Source organism: Homo sapiens, chromosome 17, assembly GCF_000001405.40.
Source record: "Homo sapiens chromosome 17, GRCh38.p14 Primary Assembly".
NCBI lineage: Eukaryota > Metazoa > Chordata > Mammalia > Primates > Hominidae > Homo > Homo sapiens.
The window spans coordinates 72030565-72058061 of NC_000017.11; the positions used below are offsets into that span (position 1 = coordinate 72030565).

The 27497-nt window shown below is 42.3% G+C and overlaps 2 long non-coding RNA genes across 3 annotated transcripts; one reads left to right on the forward strand and one right to left on the reverse strand.

Moving 5' to 3' along the window:
• On the forward strand, positions 90-10733 carry LINC01152 (long intergenic non-protein coding RNA 1152). Of its 2 annotated transcripts, none has more exons than NR_110124.1 (3): positions 90-287; positions 6481-6567; positions 7441-10733. It is a non-coding gene; the product is annotated as a long intergenic non-protein coding RNA 1152 (long non-coding RNA). The 2 variants fall into 2 exon arrangements; NR_110132.1 differs by having other exon boundaries at positions 7951-10733.
• Positions 3543-27170, reverse strand: LOC102723517 (uncharacterized). The gene is made up of 3 exons (NR_110877.1): positions 26895-27170; positions 6726-6799; positions 3543-3774 (listed from the first exon to the last, which is right to left on the reverse strand). It is a non-coding gene; the product is annotated as an uncharacterized LOC102723517 (long non-coding RNA).
• Between the last annotated feature and the right edge of the window lie 327 nt (positions 27171-27497).

The window sequence follows — 27497 nt, forward strand, 5'->3', positions numbered from 1 at the left end:
CTCCTCGCAATCAACCGCTAGGGGAAGGAGGGAAGCAGGCAGGAGGGAGAGCGGGAGACTTCCGGAAATCCCTTTCCTCCCTTCCCTTCACAGGTTGCCCCATAGTGACCCTGGAGACTCCCGCCTGCCCCCAGTGAAGGAATTGGTTACTCTCCCAGAGCCCTCCCGGGCATCGCCCCCTTCCTCACTTCCTCCTCTTCCTGCCCCCAGCCTCTACCCCTCCAGCCTCCTGTGGCTTCACAGGCAAGTGCCGCATCCCAGGAAGAAGGAGTTGGAGCTCCGTGATGGTGAGCTTTCAGACTTCCCCCTACAACCTCCGCCTCCCCAAAGGCACAGAGGCAAGCAGTGGCTTCCCTGGTATCATTTGTGGATCTAGGAGCATGAGGGAGCTATCGAAGACGGCATGTAGCCTGTTCTTCTTTCTCTTAGTAAACAATAATATCTAAATGTGCTAGAGGGAAAATACTTTTTAATTTATACTTTAAAACTGGTTTAGATTTTGAATGTATAGTCTGTTTTCCTGGAGTCCAATTGTAACATGAACCCCAAACCTAGGAGTTCTGTTTTTATACATCAGGAAGGGGACCAACCCACTCACCCATCCACCCATCTTTCAACTCACCCACCCACTCTTGTTTATAACTGCATAGTGGTTTATTTTGCCAGCACTAAACTATGCAGCTTGTTTCCCCTTTGCCAGCCTCTGCAGACAGAAAGCAAAGGCTGATCATTCTCAATTGACATGTGCACCCCTACTCTGAAGCTACAGCTGGATGACACCTCAGACAAATGCACTCATACATAAAAGTTTTTCTGCATGTTTTCGTTTTTGATTCTTTTATTGGAAGCATTTTTATGGCTGGGAGGTAGGTGCACATCCATTACAGTGAGGGGTCAGATATTAGAATACTTACGGTGCTTATAATTTTAATAGGATCACCCCCCTCATCCCTCATTGCCAATCAATTTCACTCTGTTTCAGGGTCACAGATCATACCCCTAATCCTGGCCAGTTGTCTCACCAATGTGTGTCACAAGCGGCCTGGGGCAAGAAAGTATAGATGACCCAGCATAACCGTTGCTTCTATTGCAAAGGGTACATCCTACAAAGAGCAGAACACGATTAGAGGCAGGCATAATTGCAGGCACTAAATTAGCATGGGTCTCTCAGCCAGGGGCTAATCTAAGCCAGACCTCACGTCATGGCAGGCCATGAGTACATCGCAATTACAATTCAAAAGAAAAGAGAAAAATCACCCTTGATTCTCAAATGTTTATTTTTAACACGGCAGATACTTAGCAATTATATCAGAGGCTGAGGCATCTGGAGTAAGCAAGAAAGGTGATTTGGGTTAATAATCTTTGAAAGGCTAAAGGATTTTCAATGTATGTATAAGACTGAGCCCTGTGCATGCTCCCCATTCTCTCCCTGACATCAGCCACATCCACCCCACCTCTGCCGCTACACGTTGGTGCTACCCAAGGTCTCCATTCACGCACTGTCCCTCTGCATCTCATGCTTCATCCGGGCCCTCCTCTGACCTGACCTTACCTGGCTGACTTAGTGCCCCAATTCTCTAAAACATGGAGAGATGGAACTGGTAGCTTGAACCCTCCCAGTTCCATCTCTTCCCTTTGTAAGTTTTCCCGGTGCCCTTGGGCCCCATGTTTCTAGACTATGCCCTAACACAGAGCCTTTAAAGCTTACTTCCACATGAAGGCAGAAATCAATCTTGGGCAGCCAAAACACATATGCTTTCTCAGTGGTAGGCTTAGGAGTGATTTTTTTTCTCTACAATCAACATGTATTAATTTTACATTCAAAAATTGTGTGTGCGTCTGTGTTTATTCGGTTTCAAAATCCAGTATACAACAAACTTTGCTTCTCCTGGCTTTTTAAACTCTTTTCACATGCCATAGTCCTGGTTCACCAGTGCAATTAATTTGCCTTTGAATTTGCCACTGGGATTCTTTTTGGTCGGCGGGGGGCTGTAGGTCGGGGTCAGAGTCTTGCTCTGTCACCCAGGCTGGAGTGCAGTGGCATGATCATAGCTCACTGTAGCCTCAAACTCTCAAGTTCAAGCAATCCTCCCACCTCAGCCTCCTGAGTGGCTGAAATTACAGGCACAAGCTACCATGCCTAACTAAGTTTTTAATTTTTTTGTATTGACAGGGTCTTGCTATGTTGCCCAGGCTGGTCTCAAACTTGTGGCCTCAAGTGTTCCTCCTGCCTCAGCCTCCCAAAGCACTGAGATTACCCTGCGTTTTTGTTTTTGTTTGCTTTTTTATTAATCAAAGTAGAAATCACAGACCCATTGTATTTCTACAGGTGAAATCATTACAATGTTGCCAGGGATTAATTTCTATGAGTGGATGAGAGGTCTCTTTTTCACAGTTTTCTTTTTGTCAGGGGACTACTGCCCTGATAAAACTTAGGCCTTCCCTGGCTAGGACATAGTAACCCTTCCAGCCATATTATAATGAATTTTGTAAAACTTGGCCAAACATTAGGCTGTACTGGAATGTTACCTTTTTAAATTTCAGAATAAATAGGCTATCAGCAGGATCACGGACAAGTTTTGATCATACAGAGACAGCCATTGTAATAGGACTTTTTCTGTGTTAATATAATGATTTAATAAAGCCATTTGGCACATAAATAAGACTCTCTTAGACCAAGCATTCTTAACAATGAGAGAATTGAGATCAGCCTATAGGGTGTATTAGCAAAAGTGTCTTTTCCAGCTTTAGTAAAACTCTTCCATCTGTTTAGCAATAATTTTATTATTCTGTATTAAAAACCCTCCTGAAATAGATGTGGTAAAAAACGCTCTGCCCCTGTTATGATACTTTCCAAACAAGCTTAAAATTGCTCAGAAACAAAAGGCAGGAGAAAAAAGAAAGGGCAGTGTCTCCAGATAATGAAGTTCTGCCTTTGTGTTTTATCTGTAAAACAGTACGGTTTGAAAAGTCTGGATCCCATTTCATCTGAACGCAACATAAATGTAGTGCCTGGAATCCTCCCAAATGAATAAATTCTTTTCTGATAATTTTTAAGTGAGGAAAGATCAACAGGATAGGGGCATGAGGTGGGGGGCGGGGTAGGGGGGATTATAGGCTGGTGTGTGTGTGTGTGTGTGTGTGTGTGTGTGTATTTAGCAGGACAATTGGGAGAGTTCTGGACATAATTTTTTTCTTTTCTTTTTCTTTTTGGTGAACCATGCTGAATTTTGTCTCTCTTTCTTGAAAAACCTTAATAGATTTGTGTGTTTGTTGACCAAGTGCTCTTTTTCATTCCTATTCAGCTTGCCTGTCCCATCCCAAGTATACTTGCCTCAGATGGCAACATGACAAAGCTCCCTTCCTTCTCTCGAATGGTTTGCAAGCTTCTGGTCTTCTTTTTCTTCTCCCTGGATTGTGCACAAAATTATGCCAATTTATGGTGGGGTAAGGGGATACTCCATGGACCACTTATCTCTTTAATTTTCCTCCATGTTGTGAGGTCTTGCTGAGCGCAGTCTGCAACTTCTGGAGTGATGAAGAGAACAAAAAGCTGTAGGCCTGTCACACTAACTTTCAGGATTGAGGTTACCAAAGAGGAACTGTGTAATTTCTTTATATAAATGGCTTAACCAGACCTCAAAAAGTCCTGCAATGAACACAGTTCTCTTTCGGGCTTAATGTTCTCACTTTGCTTCTTTGTTTAAAAAAAAAAAAAAAAAAAAAGGTTGGGGGGAGGAAAAAAGGCCATTGATCCTCCTCTTCCTTTGACCACTGGAAGAAAGGTAGAGAAAAAGAAAAAGAAAATTAACAAAGAAAGGACCCATGTCCCTCCTGCTTCCCCCTCCTCTCCCCATCCACAGGCAAAATCTAATAACAATGATTAAATTACATGTCTTTTCCTCCCATTGAAATCCACTGCATACTATTCAAATATTAGAACTCAGGAAATAAGGCAGGACAAGGTCCCTCATGAAACCTTAGAAGGCAGCACAGGGGTTTGAGCTGGAGGTCTGCTTGGCTGGGCAGCTCTAATTAAGAAATCACCCTGCTGAGCAGAACTTAATCTAAATAAAATATAAAAAGGAATCCAGTGAAAACCATTACCTCCCCACCCCACCTCCTCACACACCTCACATCCATAGGCCCTGTTTCCCTAGTCCTAGGAACTCTCCCTCCCATCACCTGGGAGTTCGATGTTGTTCTATGTGCCCCACAGTACAATCAAAAGTGAATTCTCAGCTCTAGAAGAGGAAGCTATGTCTTGTGCTGGCCTCTTGCTGTTTGGCTGGCCTTTCACAGGGCCAGAGGCAGATTTAGTCAATGTTGTTTTGGTTTGGAGGGGTATATGAAATGGAGATTTGACCAAGGAATGATTAAAGAGCTGGTTATTTGCTATAGTTAACAAGGTATTGTGTATTTCAAAATACCTAGAAGAGAGGACCTGAGATGTTCCACACATAGAAATGATAAAGACTAATGGTTATGGACACTTCAAATACTCCGATGTGACCATTACACAGTCTATGCATGTAACGAAATATAATAGCTACCCCATAAATAAGTACAAATATTTGGATCAATTTTTAAAAAGCAAAGATTAAAAAAAAGAGTTGACCATCTGGTCAGCCCTTCTATTCTTAACACAATGAACTGCCAACCCACAGCCTCTCTGCAGGCTAACTGGGTTCTTCTTGCCTGTCCACCAACTGCATTTGATGGAGTAGCCACCTGAGAGCAAAGTCCACATCTGTTTAACTTGATGTTGTTCACTATACTTGTACTAATTAGTCCTTTATGCTGTATTGAATCAGCCTCAGACCTCTGCCCCACCCCCCGTCCTGGGTGCTCCCTCTGATGTTGGGTGACATTTATTTAGCTTCATTTCCCACTGTCCTCCATAGAAATCTGTTCTGTGTTCTCATTGATCTCACTGTTGACCCCATGAGTGTGCTGTTCTCTACATTACACCTTTGTGACTTTGCATGGGCTGCCATGTCCGCCCATGGTAGTGGTTTTTAAGCTGTTGAAAACCTGTTGAAAGAGATAAACTCTATCCCTAAGGTGGGAAAAGCACACATATGTACATAAACACAGGGTTTTGCCAGCAATTTCAGGGAGTAGCTCACTCTCTAAGGAGTATGTGATTACCACCTTGACCCATTTATGCCTGAGGTTGCAATTTTTGCAATCAGATCTTGGTGATGATCTTGAGCAGTAGGATATAAATAACTCCCACATGCTTAGCATTCCAATAATGGAACACTAGGCGTAAGTGGGTCAAACTCTTGAGATCAATTTTTCTGTCTTTTCTCCTCCCATTTTGGGAAAACTCCTACTTATCCTCAAGGAGAGCTCCACAAAGTTTGCAGACTCCTGCTCTGTGCTCCTTGATGTCTTTTGTCTGTAAGGCCAGTACACCACTTACCACAGTGCAATAATCATTTGTTTGAGTGTCCATCTTCCTCTAGACCAAAGGGGGCAAATGTTCTCTTAAAAGTGCCAGATAGTAAAGATTTTTAGGCTTTGTAGGTCATATGGTCTCTGTGGCAACTACTCATGTCTGCTGTTTTTGCAAAAGCAACCATAGATGATGTCTTAGTCTGTTTGGGCTGCTATTAAACAATACTGTGACCTGAGTGGCTTATATACAACAGACATTTATTTCTCACAGTTCTGGAAGCTGAGAAGTCTAAGGTCAAGACTCCAGTGGATTACGCATCTGGCGAGAGCCTACTTCCTGGTTTGTAGGTGGTGTCTTCTCTCTGTGTCCTCACATGGCATAAGGGAAAAGGGACCCCTCTGGGATCTATTTTTATAAGGGTACTAATCCCCTGCATGAGGGCTCCTGCCTCAAGACCTAATGTATTGTCCATTTTCATGCTGCTGATAAAGACATACCTGAGACTGGGCAATCTACAAAAGAAAGAAGTTTAATGGACTTACAGGTTCACGTAGCTGGGGAAGCCTCACAATCATGGCAGAAGGCAAGGAGAAGCAAGTTACATCTTACATGGGCAGCAGCAGGTAAAGAGGGAGAGCTTGTGCAGGGAAACTCCCATTTTTAAAACCATCGTCTCGCATGAGACTTACTCACTATCACGAGAACAGCACGGGAAAGACCTGCCCCCATGATTCAATTACCTCCCACCAGGTCCCTCCCACAACACATGGGAATTCAAGATAAGATTTGGATGGAGACACAGCAAAACAATATCACCTAATCACCTCCCAAAGGCCCTACCTCCAAATACCATCGCAGTGGGGATTAGATTTGAAGATAAGAATTCTGGGAGGACACAGACATTCAGTCTACAGGGGACAATATGGAAACAAATGGGCATGGCTCCATTCCAGTAACACTTTATATGCACTGCAATTTAAATTTCATATCGTTTTCATGTCATAAAATATTTTTTATTTGTTTTCCAAACGTTAAAAAACATAAAAACTATCTTTTTTTTTTTTTAATCTCATTAGCCATTCAAAAACAGATGAGATGGGGACAGATTTAACCCAAAGGACATAGTTCAACTCCTGGTCTTGACAGAGGAGAAGCCCTCAAAGGTAAATCTTACTAATTTTTGAGCTTTATTATCTAATCCCTCAAAGGTAATTCATCCTTGAGTTTAACTATCTAGCATTAACTGATACAAAAAATGCATATAAATGTACAATTTACCCTTGAACAAGAAAGATAGGTTGACCTGTGCAGGTCCACTTACACTTGGATTTTCTTCTGCTTCTGCTACTCTTGAGACAGCAAGACCAACCCCTCCTCTTCCTCTTCCTCCTCAGCCTACTCAATGTGAAGACAATAAGGATGAAGACCATTAATGATGTTCTGCTTCCACTTAATGAATAATAAATATATTTTCTCTTCTTTATGATTTTCTTAATAACATTTCTCAAGTCTATTGTAAGAATACAGTGTATAATACATATAATGTACAAAACTTGTATAATCAACTGTTTCTGTTACCAATAAGACAGTAGCCTATTAGTAGTTAAGTTTTTGGGGGGTCAAAAGTTACATGCCAATTTTTGACTGCATGGGGTGTTGGGGCCCCTAGTCCCTGCATTGTTTAAGGGTCAACTGTAATAACAACTATAAACAACTGAATGACTTTTTGATTACAAAAAATTCCTTGAGACAAAGCCTGAATAGAACAACCATAAATGTGGCTTTGGGGACACTGTTGCGGCTTCATGTTTCATCATGACTAGAGATATAATACCTTAAGTAGTTAGCCACCAACACTCCAATCGCAAATTCTGGAGGTCTGGGATTATTCCACAAATCACTGGGTAGATGCAAACCTTCTAGAGAAGTCTAGTATCAGCAGAGTAAAACAATCTCCTTTTAAAAATAAGATTTCTTTATCACTCCCTGCTTTCACGCAATCACAGCTTCTTTTTATTTACTTATTTATTTTTTAGATGGAGTCTCACTCTGTTGCCAGGCTAGAATACAATGGCACGAACTTGGCTCACTGCAACCTCCGCCTCCTGGGTTCAAGAGATTCTCCTGCCTCAGCGTCCTGAGTTGCTGGGACTACGGGCACACACCATCATGCCCAGCTAATTTTTGTATTTTTAGTAGAGACAGGGTTTCACCATGTTGACCAGGATGGTCTCGATCTCTTGACCTCGTGATCTGCCCACGTCGGCCTCCCAAAGTCCTGGGATTACAGGCATGAGCCAGTGCGCCTAGCAAACGACAGCTTTTTGAGCCTCTGTTTAACAATCTCTTAAACCTTATAGGTAGGCAGTTCTGAGACAGCTCCTAATCATCTCCCCTCCTGGTATTCAAGCCCTGATGGAATACTCTCTTCTTCAATGTGAGCTGGACTTAGTGGTTTTCTTCTAATCCATTGAATACACACAAGTGATGAGCTGTCATTTCCAAAATTAGTTCACACAAAGCTGTAACTTTTGTTTTGTTCACAGCCTCTCTCAATTGCCTTCTCAGCTTGTATGCTTTGAAGAAGCAAGCTGCAGTGTTGGAGAGGCCCATGTGGCAAGGAAATGAGGGTGGCCTCCAGTCAATGGCTGGTGAGAAACTGAGACCTTCCTTCCAACAATTGTCAAGTAACTGAATACTCCCAACAATCATATGGGTTAGGTTAGAAGTGAACCTTTCTCTAGTTGAGGTTTCAGATAAGACCACAGATATTATACTAACACCTTGATTGCAGGCTTATGAGAAACCTTGAAATGAGAAGACTAAGTAAAACCATATCTGGATTCCTGACTTGCAGAAACTGTGTGATGATAAATGTGTGTTATCTTAAGCCACAAAGTTTTTGGGGTGATTTGTTCTACAGCAATTGATAATGAATACTTCAACCTATAGTGACAACTGGATGTCTATTTACTCATTTTCCCCACCAAAGTGTAAAGTTCCTACAAGGCAGAGGTTACAACATATTCATCCTGCTACCTCTCACAGCCCATAATATACAACCTGACCCATAAAACATGATTAATCAATGTTTGTTAAATTAACATGTATTTTGAGTTTCATTGAAATCAGTTAGTTGAAGTGATAATAACATTTAAATGTGCATGAGCAGTAGGACAAGGCAGATAGCTGGTTAGGATAGAAAGTTTTTGAAAATTGTGAGGGGAAAAATTATTTCTATTTGTACCCTGTTGTACCCAGCTTAGGTTTCAAAAACTTTCAGGGGGTTTTTATTCATTTACCAAAGACTTCAAAGTTGGTGCCTCCCCACCACTCTAAAGAGGTCTTTGCCCTTATTGACCCAACCATACTGATTTGCCTGGTGCACAGTGGGAGCTATTATAAGGAGAGGGGAGAAGAAGGAAATAGAAACAACTGTGAAAAAGGTTGAAAAAAATAGCGAAAAGGATAGAAAAAGAGCAGAGGAAAGAGAAGAAGTAGTCAACATCCAACCCAGATGCAGAGAAATGATTCAAAAGAAAAAGTCTGATTTTCCTGTCGGAAATATTTTTAAAAGGAGGTAGGCATTTATCAAAAAGGAAAAAAAAAAAAAAAGAATAACAGAGTTTGTCTTCCAAAGGACCCAATACTCTTGGAATTCAATGACCTAATTCTGTGTATGGTTGCAGTGTGGAGATTGCCTCTTGTCTGATTCTCATGGCATTGAGACCTCTGATTTCTCAACAGCACATGCCACAGCACTATCAGAAGTCAGGAATAAAGAACAGAGGGTGTGGGGGGCAGTCTAGATATTATGCTCAGCAAACATATTTTTAAATCAGTGTAAATTCTATCTTGCTGGTTGCTTATCTTAGCAGTTAAATCAACTTTTCGTTACTTTTGTAGACATTATATAATATCTTCTCCCCGCAGCTCCAGCCACCAGCTGTTAGTCAGCAGAATGGGAGAGGGACTGGGTCAGCTTAAGCTGAATAACTTCCATGGTGACATTTGAGGGAACCAATTCCCAGCCACTGAACAAACCTAAATGTTCTGCTATGGCCATAGAACCAAATAGATCTTAACAAAGAAACCTGAGAGCATTCAAAGGTCAAAACAATTGGAGCTAGTTCCTTCAAGCTTAAATATGCTCATCTGTAAAGTGGGGACAATAACTGTGTGTCTTATAGGGTTATTTTGAAGGCTAAATATGTGTAAAAGCCTCAGTCTACTGAAAGGTTGCTCAACTGTAACACTCTTTTCATTTTGTGAGGGATCATTCTTTGTTGGAGGTTAGGGACACTGTCTCGTGCATTACAGGATGTTTAGCAACATCCTCAGCTTCTATCCATCAGATGTTAGCACCCCCCCCACGGACCACCATCTTCTCCATCATCACCATCAAATATGTCTCCAGACATTTCCAAGTGTCCCCTGGGAGGCTAAAACTGCCCCTGGTTGAGAACCACTGTTCTAGTACTTGGCATTGTTCCATAAACATCAGATGATATTTTTATCATTATAATTATTACTAAAGGCAACATCACCCTGCTATGGAGACAGGTCCTTGGTCTCACGGAATCCCTGCAATAGTTGCTGCATTTCTGCATCTTTCTGAGAGTAAGGGTTGAAAAGAGATAAGGTCAATTCATCTGACAACAATCCAATGGGAAACCTACTGTCTCCGTAGAAATTCTTTTCATGGAAAGAAAAGGGGCTACCATTTTGATCTGCTGCAGGAACTAGGTCTATTCCTCAGCCTCACAGTTTGCAAAACGCTACAGACTTTTCCATGGGCATAAATTCTCCAGCTTTAGGGATTGCTGGTATAGTTGACTCTTGAAGCTGCTCTTGGATTTCCAAGGGTAGCACCATTTTTACCTGAGAAAAGAAGGAAAAAGATATTCAAGAAGGAGAACTTTTCAACAGAAGTTACTCCATTTGCTGTTTTTGTGGTTTTGTGCTTGTTTAGGTTTGCAAGTGTGTTTTCTGCCCAAATTGTTCTTGCATATTCTAACAGTGTTTGCTTTACGTGTTTTGATGCCACGCTGTTTTGAAGGTACAAATGTTTTTCATGGCATGTCTTGTGTTAAGTGTACAAACTGAGACGTGAATGTCAGTGACTGAATAGAGTACAGTATTCCTCAAAGTTTGTAACTAAATAAACCCTAAGAGAAAAGTGAAGCGAGATTTCTGGAGGTCTGGAAGTGGCCAGCTGACAATATACATCTCTGTATCTCCTATTTTTATCTTTATGCTAAATGCAAATTTTACTTTCTGTGCTAAAATAATGTTTCATTAGTTTCAAGGTAAAAATGTGTAAATAGACTTTCCGTACTGGCTTGTTTATTCTGTGGTTTTTCCTACTCCCTTTTTAAAAGTATGTACAGTGAATTTGCAAAGATCATAGTATTGGAATCTAACCCACCTGAATTTCAGTCCTTGGCTATACTACTGATAGAATGGATTAACTTGGGCATATCACTTAATCCTGAGGACCCTCAGTTTCCATATCCGAAATGAAGAAGTAAGAAGTGACCTACTATATCACACCATTATAAGAAGTAAAAGCAATATATGTGAACAGTAGAGCAGAGGGCCAGGCACAGAAAGTTCTCTATAGTCATTAGCTGGCATAATTATTATAAAAGGGAGCACTTTTGATGTAAAACATAGGTAGAAGTTCACAAATTTGTTAATCTGCCCCTACCTCCCAACCGTCTACCTACCCTCCATACCTGGCCACCTGCCTCATACAGATATTGCCTAACTTTTAAAAAGGAACACTTTTGATATAAAACATAGGTAGAGGGTCACGCAGTACATGAATGAGAAATGAAACAGAGGCCTGTTAATCTACTGTCACCTCCCAACCCTCTACCCACCCCCTATACCTGGCCACCTGCCTCTGTGCAGATCTTGCCTAACCTTTCCCAACAGGAAGAACCTGGGATTTTGTGAAATACTTCCGAGGATGAAACTAACACAGCTCATTAACCCTCCCAAGTATCTGTGCTATAAGGATTTCCTGTAACTTTCCCATGACTCTGAATTACATCTACCCTGAGCCCCACATCAAGATCTGGGACATTGCCTTGTCATGCTGACAGTTGCCCACATTTCCTGGCTTTGTTCACATTGCTTCCCAGACCCCTCTTCTGAAGATTCTGATTTTCTTGGTGTAGGGAGAGGGGCAGATAACTTATATTTTTAACAAGCTCCCTAAGTATTTCCTAAGATTGTGTAAGTTGAGAAAGCACTGCATTGTGCTATCTGCTTCTGTTGCCCACAGTACCAGAACATATCTCCAGACATCTAAAACACTAAAACAAAGAACAGCAGGTGTAATTTCTAAAAAAAAAAAAAAAAAAAAAAACCTGATCATGGCAAATTTAATATTAGTCTAAATATCTATCAGAATTCCAACATACACCCTCCTTGACCCTGCAATTCTACTTCAAGGAATTAATCTTAACAAATATACTTCCAGATCTATAGAAAGGTGAATGTAAAAGCATTGTCTCTAATGCTGTGCGGAATAATGCAGAAGACTGTGAGAAAAAACCTAATGTCCAACAATGGGGGAAGAAATGTATGACATAGCCATATAATAGAATATTATGGAGCTTTACAAAGACAGCTGTCTGTGTTTCGGTATTTTACATCCATACAAGCCATTCTCTGTGTGTTGAATTAAATTAAAAAGGTCTCCAAGTTATATTTTAAATTAAAAATGTCAAAGTGCCTAATAGTATGGGCAGTTGACAATCTATCTCCTTCCTCTCTATAACCTTTCTAACTAGATTGTATGTGTCTTGTGCATTATAAGATGTTTAGCAACATCCTTAGCTTCTGTCCACCAGATGTTAGCACCCCACCCACAGACCACCACCCTCTCCATCATCACCATCAGAAAGTCTCCAGACATTTCCAAGTGTTCCCTGGAGGGTAAAATCACCCCTGTTTGGGAACCACTGTTCTAGTGCTTGAATAAACGCACATACTATCCCTGGAAGGATACCCAGAAGCATCACTGGTGCCTGTGGGGTAGGGGACTGGATGGCTAGGAGCTAAGGCCAGGAGGGGACTGAATTTTTGCACAATATGTTTTCTTGGACCCTTTGATTTTTGTATCATGCACAGATTTAACCTATACAAAAGTTTGTTTTGATTTAAAACAGAAGACCTCAGTCTAGCTAGCACTCATACCCTACATTTATTCCTTCCCTTTATCCTTCTCTTTCCTTACCCCACAGCTTTGCTCCTCCATTCACATTAGGAGAATCTTTTCCTGTCCTCCATTCCCACCACAGTGTGGACTTCCTCTCTCCCTATTTCCACTCTGCTTAAGCCCCACCATTTCCTGGAGGTATGTCTGTCACCTTCAAGTTCTACTAAAGCTACCTTGAATCTAAGCCACACAGGAGGGTTTGTTGCCCTGATGAAATACACTCCATGACCATACCCTTCCTGTACATCTACACATTCCTCATCAATTGGAGATCTTATCACAGAGAAATGTTTTAAAAATCATTCACTTTAGTGTCAAACTTTCTTCTCTCTTATTTTAAATTTTCATAATTTTTAATGTATGGGTGCCTAAAAAAGAGTGATGTCTGTTTGAATTTGACCTGTGTGTTTGCATTTCAACCATAAATTTCCTCGTAAACAACAGACTCCCTATTTATCCTACACAATAACAATATAAGAAAGACCTACTTATAATCTCTCCTATCGGCCTAATTATAAGCTCTTAGAAGTGCGGAGCTTATCTTTCACCATTCTACTTTCTTCTTAGGGCTTAATGCAGAAGTTTGACATTAAAGACCCTCAAGAAGTACTTGTTGAGTGAATATCAGAATGAAGTAGTGAATGTACTTTTTTTAATTTTAATTTTAAGTTCAGGGGTACATGTGCAGGATGTGCAGGTTTGTTACATAGGTAAACGTGTGCCGTGGTGGTTTGCTGCACCTATCAACCCATCACCTAGGTATTAAGCCCAGCATGCATTAACTATTTTTCCTAATGCTCTCCCTCCCCATTTGACCCAGCAATCCCATTACTGGGAATACACCCAAAAGAAGACAAATCATTCTATTACAAAGATACATGGATGTGTATGTTCATTGCAGCACTATTCACAATAGCAAAGACGTGGAATCAACCCAACTGTCCATCAGTGATAGACTGGATAAAGAGAATGTGGTACATATACACGATTGAATGCTATGAAGCCATAAACAGGAACGAGATCATGTCCTTTGCAGGCACATGGATGGAGCTGGAAGCCATTATCCTCAGCAAACTAGGGCATCTGCAGGAAAACAGTGTACTATTCTAATTCATTTCCAGGAGTGTTAATTGATTGTTTTGGCAGAAGAATGTATGGTTTGCGATACAGTGTCAGTACCATGGTTGTACAGTCTGTTTGTTGCCTGACAGTTGTTGGCTTGTTTTTAGTATGGTCATTTAGTCTCCCTTGTTTACCCTTGACCCCATCTATGTCCTTCAGAGCACCAAGCATAGGGATTTGTCCACAGCACGTTCTTGGGAAATGGTATGGAATGAATGGCCTTTGATGAGCAATATAAAGAACATGTAGAAAGCTTGGCAAAAGCTTAAGCAGTAAAAGTAAACAACCAACTTGCCCCCAAATCTGCATAATGTTATATTAAATGTTCATCATGGGAGGAAGAATGACAGGCAGGTTTGGGGGGTTGGCCATCTCTCCATACTTTCCAGGAAGCTGGGTTTATGTCTTCTGAGGTAAGAACTAGAATAGAATTTTTTTTCTAGATATTTGTGCTTTGCTCACTCCTGTCTTCCAGGGAGGGAGAGGGTCTGCCTATTACAAGAAGGCTGTGATCCTTTGGGCTGTCAAGAACTTAATTTAAAATCATAACTGATATTAATAACAGGTATTTCACTTATACATGCTCTTGGGACTCTCCAAATGAAGGCTAGCCCATAGTCACCACAGTCAGGGAGGGTAACATTCATGGAGGGCAAGGGATTAGGATCACCCTGAGGACCAAACAATCAATAAAACCGTGATTATGATTTTACCTGGATTGAGTCAAACATCAGGGACTCTAAGCACTTTCCCAATGCTCACTTTCCACCAGTAAGTTAGCAACACTTAACGTGCACACACTGGGCATTACCTCTGCAGGAACAAAAGCTCATATGGAGCATTTCACATTCTTAATAGAAGAGTTTGCCTTTGACATCTCAGTGACCAGTGTGAGTCAATTTGGAGACCACATTGAACCATCTCTATCTTCTGGTCAGTTGAGGATGTAAGAGGTCCTCCAGTCAACAGAACCCATTCAGACATGACAGAAAGACAACAGCTTTGGGTTGAGGCATTTTTCACTTGATGTCACCGTATTAGTCTGTTCTCACGCTGCTATAAAGAACTACCTGAAACTGGATAATTTATAAAGAGCAGAGGTTTACCTGGCTCATGGTTCCACAGGCTGTACAGGAATCCTGGCTGGGGAGGCCTCAGGAAACTTACAATCATGATGGAAGGTGAAAGGGAAGCAGGCACAATCTTCACATGGCACAGCAGGAGAGAGGGAGTGAAAAGGGAAGTGATATACACTTTTAAAACAACCAGATCTTGTGAGAACACACTCACTATCACAAGAACAGCAAGGGAAAAGTCTGCCCCCGTAATCCAATCACCTCTCACTGGATCCCTCTCCCAACGTTACAATTCAACATGAGATTTGGGTGGAGACCCAGAGCCAAACCATATCAGTCATTAAAAAGTAATGAAATTATATTACCTGTATCTGAATAGAACTCAGTTGCTAATATGTGATAAATGACCAAAATAAAAATCTTCAAGTGGACCCATCACCTCTGGGTATGACCTATTTTTCCAGACTAAAGCTGCAACTAGATGGAAAAATGCATGCTCAAGATTAAAGTTCTGCTATTTTGGAGCCTTTGTGTAAAGGAAGACACTGCACAGGAGGTCTTCCAGGCTGACCTTGTCTGGTGACCATAGTCAAGCTACTGAAGATGGCATCTGTACAGCAGATCCAATGACACCTACCACACAGAGTTGTTGTGAATGCAGGTTGATAGACATAAGGTACACAGCATTACGTGACTGTCGAGTGCCTAGTACACAGTAGGCACTTAACAAATGTTTGACCCACGGGAAAGACCAATACCCAACTACACACCCAACTTCAGACCCACAGGAGGACTTGATTTCCACTATAGGCTGTAATGACACAGTGCTAACCAAGAGGTTAGGACTGCAGGAGGCCAAGAGGGGACATTCCTGCAAAGCCAATCTACAGCTCAGGGAAGGTTCTGAATTAAATCCTCACCATGCAGGTCTAAGTGACACGGGGAATATTCCCTGTGGGACTTTAGATAACTATCATTTGCCTGCTGCATAATTCTCTGTACTGAAGTTGCTTCCTTCCCTTATAATAACTGTCCGCTAGTTAGCTCATGGCCAGCAGGCTGAAGCACAGAAGGTGGCTGGTGTCAGCCTCCTGAGCTGCCAAGTGGAGATATTTTTCTCAGGTTTCTGGGTGAGTTTTTAAGCCAACACCCTTGAAAGGGAAGCAGAGCCTTCGTACCACAGGCATCCGGGACACAAGGCCTACACAGTATTTTTGAAAAGTCATTATCGCTCACTGACGATAAAGGGGCATTCACAGTGGGCAAAGCCACTCCACGGGAATGGGTGGAGCTGGGGCTACCAGGCAGGCTGCGGACCAAGTTTGCAGCCAGTTTTCCTTTTCCAGCATCTCTGGAGTTGAGCAGGTGCCAACACAGCTAACAGCTTTAGGAGGCCCCCATGGACACAGATAGCAAGCCCCCCATCTTTTCCATGGAATCTAGCAGCAGCTACCAGGGGCGTCAGCACACTGCATTAATTTTTTCCCTTGCCTGGTTTCCCACATTCTGTGACCAACTTAGCGTGTGCCAGGGAAAATATTGAAAGCCTAGGTAAACGAAGGGGAACCTAACATTCACCAGTCTGGCCTTAAAATAGCCAGTGGAACGCCCCCATCCCAGAGAGTACACAGGCAGTGACTGCAGCTAGTGTGCTCAGAGCAGCTGCCCACCCCACCCCAACGGCTCATCCGATTCCCATGAAAGCCTATCTCAGAGAGAGAACAAAGAAGCAGCCAGGCTCCTTTGCTGCCTTATTCCCTTTGGGTTCAGGGATGTAGGTGAATATTAATGAATACCAAGTGACCTGATGCAAATCAGTGCAAGCCACTGGACTGGACGGGGTGGGAACCCTGGTAAAATATGTCTGGGGTGGCGTATAGGTTGAGCAGAGCAAATGGAGAGAGCCAAGAGGAAGAGTGTTCCCGCAGAAGCATCAAGGCCTCGGGCGTTACAGGGCACACCCCAGGGCTGAGCTCCCAGGGAGAAGGGAAAATGTTTTCACACTGACTGCTGGGCAGCCTGGTACATAGCTCTAGAACCTACTGCTGTGTCCCAAGTTTGCATATCTTGGAAGGAGTGCACACAGCAGGGAGAGGGGCCCAATAGCAAGAGGTACAGAAGAAGGAAAGGAGAACAGAGAGAAGATCATCTGGGGTCGAGGAAAAGGAAAAGTGTATAGCTTATAAGCTTTATTTTCCCCATAAAATCTTGCCTGATTGAGCACATAAACATGCAGGATACCCAGTGAAATCTGAATTTCAGATTAACAACACATATGGTTTTCAGGATAAGTATGCCCCAGGCAATATCTGAGACATACTTAGACTCAAGAAAAAAAAAATCAGTGTCTATCCAGAATTCAAGTGTAACTGGGTGTTCTGTATTTTATAGGCAATCCTATCCCCACATCTTGCCCCCCGGGCTATAATGGAAACCCTCAAAGGCTGAGACTGTTTCTGCCATGTCCTTCCTGCATTCCATGTGCCACTTTGCTCTGTAATGTAGCACAGAAAGGCATCATAGCAAGGATAAGTGTGAAAGCTCAGCAATCTGACTGTCCTGACTTCACCTGTTATTAGCCCTGTGATCTTGGACAAGTAACTTAGTCACTGTTTCCTAAATTTCCTCATGTGCTAAATGGGGATAATGATAGTTGCCTGACTTAAAGAGTGGTTATAAGAACACAATACATGGGGGCTGGGCGCGGTGGCTCACGCCTGTAATCCCAGCACTTCGGGAGGCCGAGGCGGGTGGATCATGAGGTCAGGAGTTCAAGACCAGCCTGGTCAAGAAACCCTGTTTCTACTAAAAATACAAAATTAGCTGGGCGCAGTGGCAGGTGCTTGTAATCCCAGCTACTCGGGAGGCTGAGGCAGAAGAATTGCTTGAACCCGGGAGGTGGAGTTTGCAGTGAGCTGAGATTGCACCGCTGCACTCCAGCCTAGGTGACAGAGTGAGACTCTGTCAAAAAAAAAAAAAAAAAAGAAAGAAAGAAAGAAAACAATACATGGAAAGCATTTATCGTATCATAGGTTCATGGAAAGTACTCAGTAAGTGCCAGCCATTAATCACTACTGTTGTTATTATTATTATTTGATACTCGGTAAATAAAGGAGTCTGATAGAGAGAAACTAACTCGTGGGTGTTAGAGACCTGTCTGAGATGACCCTGGACTTCTGCAACCAGCTTTGTGACCTTGAGAGAGACTTTCCCTTTGGGGTTCCAAGACACCTTACTAACTCTAAAATCCCATCATTTAAACAGATTGAATGAGTAAGAACCAAATGAATAAACTATCTCCATAGATGTGTGTATGGGCTAAAAGGGTTACAAAGCAGAAGTGCAATGGAGGATGTTTCACTAGACAAAATAATAAGAAGAAGAAGCCCGTTCCCAAAGGCAAGATGTCTGACTTTCTCAATGTTCTGATCTCAGGAAGGCTAGGTTTCAGAGACGTAGACAAAAGACAACTACATTAGAGCAGAGTATGTCTGTCTCAACTTGGATTTGCAGAAAAAAATAAAAAGTAAAAAAACCCTAGCGCTATGGTCTAAACATCTGTGTTTCCCCCAAATTAATATATTGAAATTCTAACCATCATATTAATTTGAGGTGGGGCCTTTGAGGCATCATTAGGTCATAGGGGTGAAACCCTCATGAACGGAATTAGTGTCCTTACAAAACAGGCTCCAGAGAGAGTCCTCGTCCGTTCCACCATATAAGAACACAGAGAGAAGGCTTCATCTGTGAACCAGAAAGTGGACCCTCACCAGATACCATATCTGCTAATGCCTTGATCTTGGACTTTCCAGCCTCCAAAACTGTGAGAAATAAATTTATGTTATTTTTAAGCCACCCAACGTGTGATATTCTCTTATAGCAGCCAGAACAGATTAAAACAGCTAGTGTAATACCAGAATGGCCAAGAGGGAGAACCTTCTCGGTTGCCAGCCCACCCAGTTGCAGTAAATAAATTCAAGGCAGCCAGCACCAACACAGCAGAGAAGCCACGGTCCCTACCATCCACGATGCCTTTGTGGCCCAAAGTTACTCCACTCTGGGCTGGGCACAGTGGTTCATGCCTGTAATCCCAGCACTTTGGGAGGCCAAGGCGGGTGGATCATGAGGTCAGGAGCCCAGCCTGGCCAATATGGTGAAACCCCATCTCTACTAAAAATAGAAAAATTAGCCTGGCATGGTGGCACGTGCCTTTAGTCCCAGCTACTTGGGAGGCTGAGGCAGAAGAATCGCTTGAACCCAGGAGGCAGACGTTGCAGTGAGCCGAGATCGTGCCACTGCACTCCAGCCTGGGCGACAGGGCAAGACTCCGTCTCAAAAAAAAAAAAAAAAAAAAAAAAAGAAAGTTACTCCACCGTGATTTCTAGTGGTTTCGGATAATTTCACTTCTCTCTGGTGATCTTTATAGCTATTCCTCACTACCCCTGTGAAATTGTCACTTAGCCACAAATAAAATATTTGTCCCTCTCAAGTTATTTTCAGTAAGGAGTCTCAGCACCAAGAAGCCAGGGATAGGCAGACATCTTCACAGCAATGGTTTCCTCCCAGGTGACTCTTGTAGCAGGTGATGGAGGCGAACTGAGGAGAAGAGGAGCAGCCAGCAGTCTACTAGCAATGTGGACTTTCTTCACATTGGGTTCAAGAGCCTTTGGGGAATGATGCAATAAAGAGAAGATACAACCTCTTACCCTGGCATATTCATAATGTACATGTGAGGCAAAAGTGTCTTCAGTATAACAATGACGTAAGAGGCTGAATGTAGCAATATACAGGTGCAAATAAATATAAGGTAGATGGAGTGAATTTGTGCTACAACAGCAAAGAATGAGTCACATAGGCCTAGCCAAGATACAAACTTTCAACAGGTACATGATTGGTTGGGGAAGAAGGTGGGAGTGGAAAGAATAATGTTCTATGCAAAGATAGGAAGGTTTCAAGAGTATGACAAAATGGGCATGAGTGAAAACCTAGTTAAGGAACTAGGTAGGAGGCATGTGAGCTCTTCAGCATGTAGGCTGGGCTCCACTCATTAAATTAGCTCACAGATCAGGTTGCTCCTAAATAATTGTATTTTCTATAGTTGTTCCTGCTGTAATGTGATTTAAGGAGATTTGCAAAAGCACTCAGTGGTCTACCAATTAAAAAATATGTCCTCCACCAACCCAAAATTCCATTCACTGAATCTTCCTGATTATATAATACTGAGGGATTATAAATTGACTGTCTGTGGAAGGCAATACAGCAACAGCTCATGAAATTACAAATCACTAGGCCAGGTGTGGTGGCTCAAGCCTGTAATCCCAGCACTTTGGGAGGCCGAGGCGGGCAGATCACGAGGTCAGGAGATCGAGACCATCCTGGCTAACATGGTGAAACCCCGTCTCTACTAAAAATACCAAAAAAATTAACTGGGCGTGGTGGCGGGTGTCTGCAGTCCCAGCTACTTTGGAGGCTGAGGCAGGAGAATGGCGTGAACCAGGGAGGCGGAGCTTGCAGTGAGCCGAGACCCCACCACTGCACTCCAGCCTGGGTGACAGAGCGAGACTCTGTCTCAGAAAAAAAAAGAAGAAGAAAAAAAAAAAGAAATGACAAATCACACCTTTTTAAGTAGCCATTTAACATTCAGAAATTTATTCTGCAGGTATACTTGAGCGTGTACCAGGTTATTTATTTCAGCATTGTTTACAAGACCAAAATATTGAAACAACCTAAATGCCCGTCACAAATGGCATCACTGGTTGACTCAATTATGGTATTCATACATCCATAGAATAAATGCAAATTAATAGAAAATGTGGAAGTTGTTGAGTTATTGACATGAGACAATCTCTTAAATATGTTGTTTCAAACAAAAAGGCAAAGCCCGTAGGGTATGTTGTCATGTTGTTGAAAATTAAAGGGGCCACAAGGAGAGGGACCGTAACTCTCCACTCATTGAGTTTGGACTGCATTTGGTGACTTTCTCCCAAAGATTACAGTATGGAAGCGAGGAGAAGTAACCTCACACTGGAGAAACCTGACACACACTACTTTTGCCAGGTGATCAAGGTTAACATCATCAGCAATAAGTCATACTAAAGTACGTACCCTTGATATCACATGATGAGAAAGGCACTTCGTCTCTGAGGTCATTGTCTCAAAAACCCTTGTCTAACCATGAGAAAAACATCAGTCGAACTCAAATTCAGGAACCTTCTGCAAAATACTTGACCAGCCCTCCTCAAAAATGTCCAGATCATCAAAAACAAGGAAAGTCTGAGAAACTGTCCCAGATCAGAGGCGTCTAAGAAGACATGACAGCTCAATTTAAGATGGGATCCTGGAACCAAGGAGGGGCACTGGGGTAAAACTAGCGAAACCTGATAAACTGTGGAATTTAATTAATTCTAATATACCAATGTTGATTCCCCAGCTGTGACAAATGTACCACAAAACTATGAGACGTTAACAAAAGGGAAAACTGGATGATGCAGTAAATGGAGACTCTGTCATTATCTTTACAACTTTTCCTTAAACTTAAAACTAGTCTAAAGTATAGCATTTATTAATAATTAATATTAATTATTAAGATTAAGAAAATGTGGCACATATACACCATGGAATACTATGCAGTCATAAAAAAGGATGAGTTCTTGTCCTTTGCAGGGACATGGATGACGCTGGAAGCCATCATTCTGAGCAAACTACCACAAGGACAGAAAGCCAGATACTGCATGTTCTCACTCATAGGTGGGAATTGAACAATGAGAACACTTGGATACAGGGTGGGGAACATCACACCCTGGGGCCTGTCATGGGGTGGGGAGCTGGGGGAGGGATAGCATTAGGAGAAATACCTAATAGAAATGACGAATTAATGGGTGCAGCAAACAAACATGGCACATGTGTACCTATGTAACAAACCTGCATGTTGTACACATGTACCCTAGAACTTAAAGTATAATAATAAAAAAAAACAAAACCGGTAGAGATTTTATAATTGCCCACATGTGCATAAACATCTGTGGGAAGATAAGCAATAAACTAATCATTGCAGTTGCCTCTAGAAAAGGACTTGAGTTGCTGGGGGAGGTGGTTTGATTTCTATATTTTGAATTATAGTTCATGCAACCATACTACCTCTTTAAATATAAGAAAATTTACATCTTATAAGAATAAAAAAGAATTTTTAATTTACATTTTACATTTGTTTCTAAAAGACACCTTAGTACTCTGAGTAACACATTAAACCAGTAGCTCCCCCAAAGAATTCATTAACTTGGATTCATTGCTTGTATTCATAAGTTGGATGTCCTAAAGTACAAGGCTTCAAGGATGAATGGTATTAGGGGTATGTAAGTCTTCAGAAAAAAGGGAACATTGGATAGTGGTGTTCTTGGGATATTGTCCAAAAAAGTCCCAAGCCTGCATGAGACATGAAAGTATGAGGTACCAGAGGGATAATGGAAAGAGAGATAGAATACCATGCATACTAACTTTGCTGACATAAAAAATGTATCAGGATTAGCTCTCCTCTGCTTCCCAATAGACTACATTCTATATCATCCCAGTTCTAAAGTGAGCCTCCCTCTGCCTCTTGGCCCTTAACCAAGAGAAATAGACTGAACTGTTGAACTTCTAAAGGACACGGGGGACCCCGCGAGAGCTGCCTCTGGAGCCATTCTTTCCTGCATTTTCCCATCACCCTTCTGTTTCAGCCACCACTTGGCAAAAACCAGCTAAGTGGTGACTGTGAAATGAATTCAAATTTGACTCCAAGAGGGAAACAGGGCTCTCCAGGCAGAGCCATAAGCCCGAGAGAAAGGGCACAAGATTAACAGGTCACTGAGCCAGCCAGGGCGAGGAGCCAGGAGGACACCCACCGAGAGAGGCAGGGAAACGGTTAATAACTCAAGGTGACAAATTAAGCTGGCTACTCAGGGGCTCCAGTTTGGCTGATTGTGAAGTCAAAACAGAACAGTCGGAAACCGGGAAGGCGCTGTCACTTTTACTGTATTTTTCCACACGTATTTTTATTTTATTTTTTAATTTGGAAATGTTCGTGGGGAGCTGGAAAATGCAGGCTGGAGAACTCCTGGGGTCTGGGAGGGGAGACACTGTGCCTTTGCTGGATCCCCATCCAATTTGGACCAGCCGCTCCCTATGAGCTCCAGCCACCGGGGGCAGTGGGTCTCCTAGTGGTCGTCCCCCTTCTCTGTCCTCCGCCCCCCACCCCGTGGAGACATTCTCACCTCCTCTCGTTTTCACCGCCCCTCTGTGCCAGCGTGCAACCTCCTGCCAAGTTACACTAACAGTGTTCTCCGTCCACCAGCCACACCAGCCTCCTTGTTGCTGAACCCAGCAGCTGCTTAACAGGCGGCAGATGGAGAAAGGGCTGGAACTCTCAAGCACGAGGGAAACCTTGGGTGGAGAGGCAGAGGAGAAATAAAATGCTCTGCACCTATCCCAGTCGGTATGTGGCAAGGATCTGGCTTTCTCAGTGCCCCACATTTGAACAACTAGCCCGTGGAAATTCCCTAAAAGGAACGGGTAGGCTTAAGATGTTTAAAATGATCATGGGCCCCGTTTTGGGAAAAGTGAAGGAGATTAGGACGAACTGTGACAAATATATTCTGAGGTTTACCTGCCCCTTGGATCTAAGAACCCTTGAACTTCTTAGTGGAACCTTCTAGGCATGAGTTTCTACTGTGCACGTACTTTCTAAATTAGAGGATGCACGCTTATCACAACTTTACATTTAAATGATACTTTCTACATCAGAGGATACACCCTCTGCATAGATTAATCTTGTAGATTATTTTAACTCCTGGTAGTAGAATTGATAACTTGACTTTAATATTAAAGACAAATATGGCCCCCACCACCAACAACCACACACACACACACACACACACACACACACACACTCACAATTCATTCTACAGAGGTATCTCCACGTGGCATTGCAATTCCAAATTTCAATTTAATGTCATCCATGCTAAAGAAGACAAAATGGTTTTACTAAGTGAATTATAAGCAAGAGAAAAAAGGATAGAAGGCAGCACACACAAGTACAGACATGTGCAGGTCAAACACACACACCCTTTCACTCCCCTTTCTCTTCCAGCAAGCACTGCACTTGCTTCTGAGCACCCAAAGGATACTTTTGAGAACCCCAAAACAGCTGCTGTTGAAATGGCTCAGCTAGGGAAATGCTTCCCTATCATTAGGCCAAAGCTGTAATGCTCAGGTCCTGGGTTTCTTAACAATGGTTTGGGGCTAACACCTGGTGGGTCATCCCCTGAAGACCTTATATCCACCCAGTTGCAGTCCCGACCCTATCTCATGGAATAGTGCAGAAATACAATTCTCCCATTGTTCTCTGTCTTGGAGATTGAGGGAGGGGGGAATACTAACCCCCACCTCAAAAAGATTAGTGCAATTATTAGCCAACAGTAATGGCTATAAGCCAATATGTTCTCAAATCCTCCTGAGCACCAAGTCACCTTAGAGTCTCTTAAAGCCCCAAACACAAGACTGTGTGTTTTCTTGAATTTGGCCATGGTGTTCTCAAAGGCTGCTGGGTCGGTGGTTAATGCTGCCCTTACCCACAAGGCTAATAAGCGGAGAAAGAAACAGTGAATAATGCATGTGTCTGAGCCCTAGGTCCCCATGCCCCCATAAGTCTGTAAAAAGCAGGTGTCCGGTCCAGACAACACTAGCAACTGCTTCACCTAGCATTGTTTGGGCAAAATGCTTCTTAGAACACAACCATAGATTGTGACTTGTAGTTAGCATTAATTATAGAATTCTCAAGCAACGATGTGCTTTTTCCTTCTGTCACCTTATAGGAATAAATTTTTTGACCCCTGTGCTACCATTAGCTCTGCTGGTCATTCAAGGTCTCCCATCAGGAAGTATGAGAAAAGAAGTTAAATTCTGTTCCAGGATTTGGTATACCTGACTTATACTGCACGCGTATTTCAAACTGTAGTCTCAGAGAAACGAGGTCTTATCTTAAACTACTCAATGTATATTGATTAAATATAGATGGTGATGGGAAATACAAAGAAGAAAAATTCAAGGATACAAAATTTTTTAAATATATTTACATAATACCAAAGCAACCGATTAACTGACTGAATTTAAGTCGCTGATCAATTAAATGAGACATTAAGATAAGAACTTGTCAACTGAGTCAAAACATTGACTACTCCACTTAAGAAAGCACATGCCTGTGTAAATAAATATAGAGGTATACATTAACATAAATCAATACCTACAGTTCAGGGAACTATTCAATCATTCCTTCAATCTTCAAACCATTACTGATTCTCTACTATGTTCCTGGCACAGTTAAAACCAGAGGCTTGATTTATTTTAGAGTAGCCATGTTAAAAATCTCTTTTATTTCTAGAGAAATTCATACCGCTTAGGAAACACAAGCAAAGGAAACAAAAGCCTTGAAGCTGAGCAAATAAAGAGGTAATTTTCTATGTGATGGCAAATTGGGGGAGCTTTCAAGCATCTATTGTTCATTATTGGGAAGACCTATGTTAAACTTTGTACGCGTCTATGAAATACATTTATGAGGTATTAAATATAACCCTGTTCCTACGAATTAATACCATGTCTTTGCAGCGTTCAGCCTCATTTCTCACACAGCAGGCTATCAGAAAAGTCTCTGTTGAAAAGTCTAGAGCCTGAGTCGAAGTCACCAAGTTACAATGACTCAATATTCTCCATTATTTATTCTCATACACATACCTTAACAGAACAAGCGATATACCCGCTGCGTTTGTATAAAGCTCCCATGATGTACATTCTAATACATACACTTAAACACACAAATCTGTTTGTCATCTGGGAAGGGTAAGATTTTAGTTAAACCTCAGAAAGACTTCTGTGTAATAATTGGAAGATAACTGAAACCCCTGATGATTCATTTTCTCTACTCACAAAATGAGGGTTAATAAAAATAATAATAATAAATGGGTCATTTGGAAAGTACCTAAAATCCTAAGGCTAAATGTATTGTGTAGATATAGGAGAATCTAGTGTTATAGAAGGTATACATCAGACCACTCTCTGGCATTATTCACTGGTCATAACATAGATGGGAATATATAGCTACTAGAAGAATTTTCTCCTCGGAATGCCTAGAACTAAACAACTGATACAATTACTGTCCACAAGCAATATGGCATTTTCAAGGCTTTGTCAAGCAAATATTTGAAGTATATATATCACATTCGGGTGGGCATTTCTGTGCAAATACAAGCATGGGCACAAGCCCATTTAAACCCCGTACTCCTCTCTGCAAAACGGATATAACTCCATTAAGGTCTATTACTTGATTATACCCAGTAATGATTATTGTAATCCAGGAGAAGGAGAACAGAGTAAAGAATATTGAGGCTCTGATGAGACATACAGCCCCAAAACCCTTGGGTCCCCCTTTCATCTTTAGTTACTTGTCAGCCCAGAGGCCTGGCCTGTGGGAACCCAGCTCAGCAGCACCTTCATGTGGATGAACTTTCTAGATAAGCGCCTTGGGTACCAACATGCTGTAGGAAATCCGATCCACAGCCCGTGCCTGCTGCTCACTCACTTAACTTTCTTGTGTTGGAAACCAGGCAGGGGCCCTTCACACTTTCCAACAGCTCCCTTGTTTGCTTATGTGGAATCATGCAGACTGAGAGCAAAGAAGTATACAGGAGGCAAGGGCAGGGGATAGAGGCCTGGTCAGGAGCAAGAAGACTTGGGGCAAGAAAGCCTGCCCTTTGGGAGAAGAGTCATTCATACCTCTCCATCAATCCATTGCTGATTATCCTCCCTAACTCCCTTCCCCCAATTCCTACACATCAATACAATTCCTTTGTAGAGGTTGGCCAGCTTCTCCCCCAGCAGGTGGCCAGAATAGACTCTGCTGGGAGATTGCAAGTCACCCCTAGTGCCTACATCGAGGCAAAAAGAGAAGAAATAAGGATCACAGTGAATCATCTGTCAAGGTTGGCAGAAACGAGATTCGACTGACAGCTTTTTAGCCCAGGCAGCTACTCACCTGGATCTGGCATGAGGCTTGACCAAGTCAGGTAAAACTCCAAAATCCAAATGAGTAAGTCCAAGAGTCTCTACTCTGCCATCTTTTCCTCTGCCCCTTGGCCATCGGGTGTGGTTTAGCTGACCAAGATCATGGTCCTTTTGAATTCAGCAGAGTTGTAGAACTCCCGGGCCTTATTCTAATCCTGTCTACTATTCCTCAGTCTCGAAGCTGCTTTTGAAGCCAGAAAGCACCGGCAGTGGAGTGCAGAAAGCTTGCTCCAGACATTGAATGAGCCCACAGAATACCTCAATCTGATCTTTTATAGTGCTTTGTTTATTACCTGTGTGCCCTTATTTCATAAGGGAACTGAGAAAGAGAGAGAGAGAGAGAGAGAGAGAGAGAGAGAGAGCAGGAATGATGAAGATGACTATTAGTAGCAATCCAAAGACACCTTTTCTTAAGCCTCATTCATAGAAGCAAATGTGGCCAAACAACCTAGCAATTGTTCTCTCAAATGTCACCTTTCTGTATGGGCCACTGTGCCGATAAAACTCGGCTCTCTCGTTTTCTGCTCCCCCTGCAGCCCCTCCTGAAAAATTACGATGTTATCCTCCAAATATC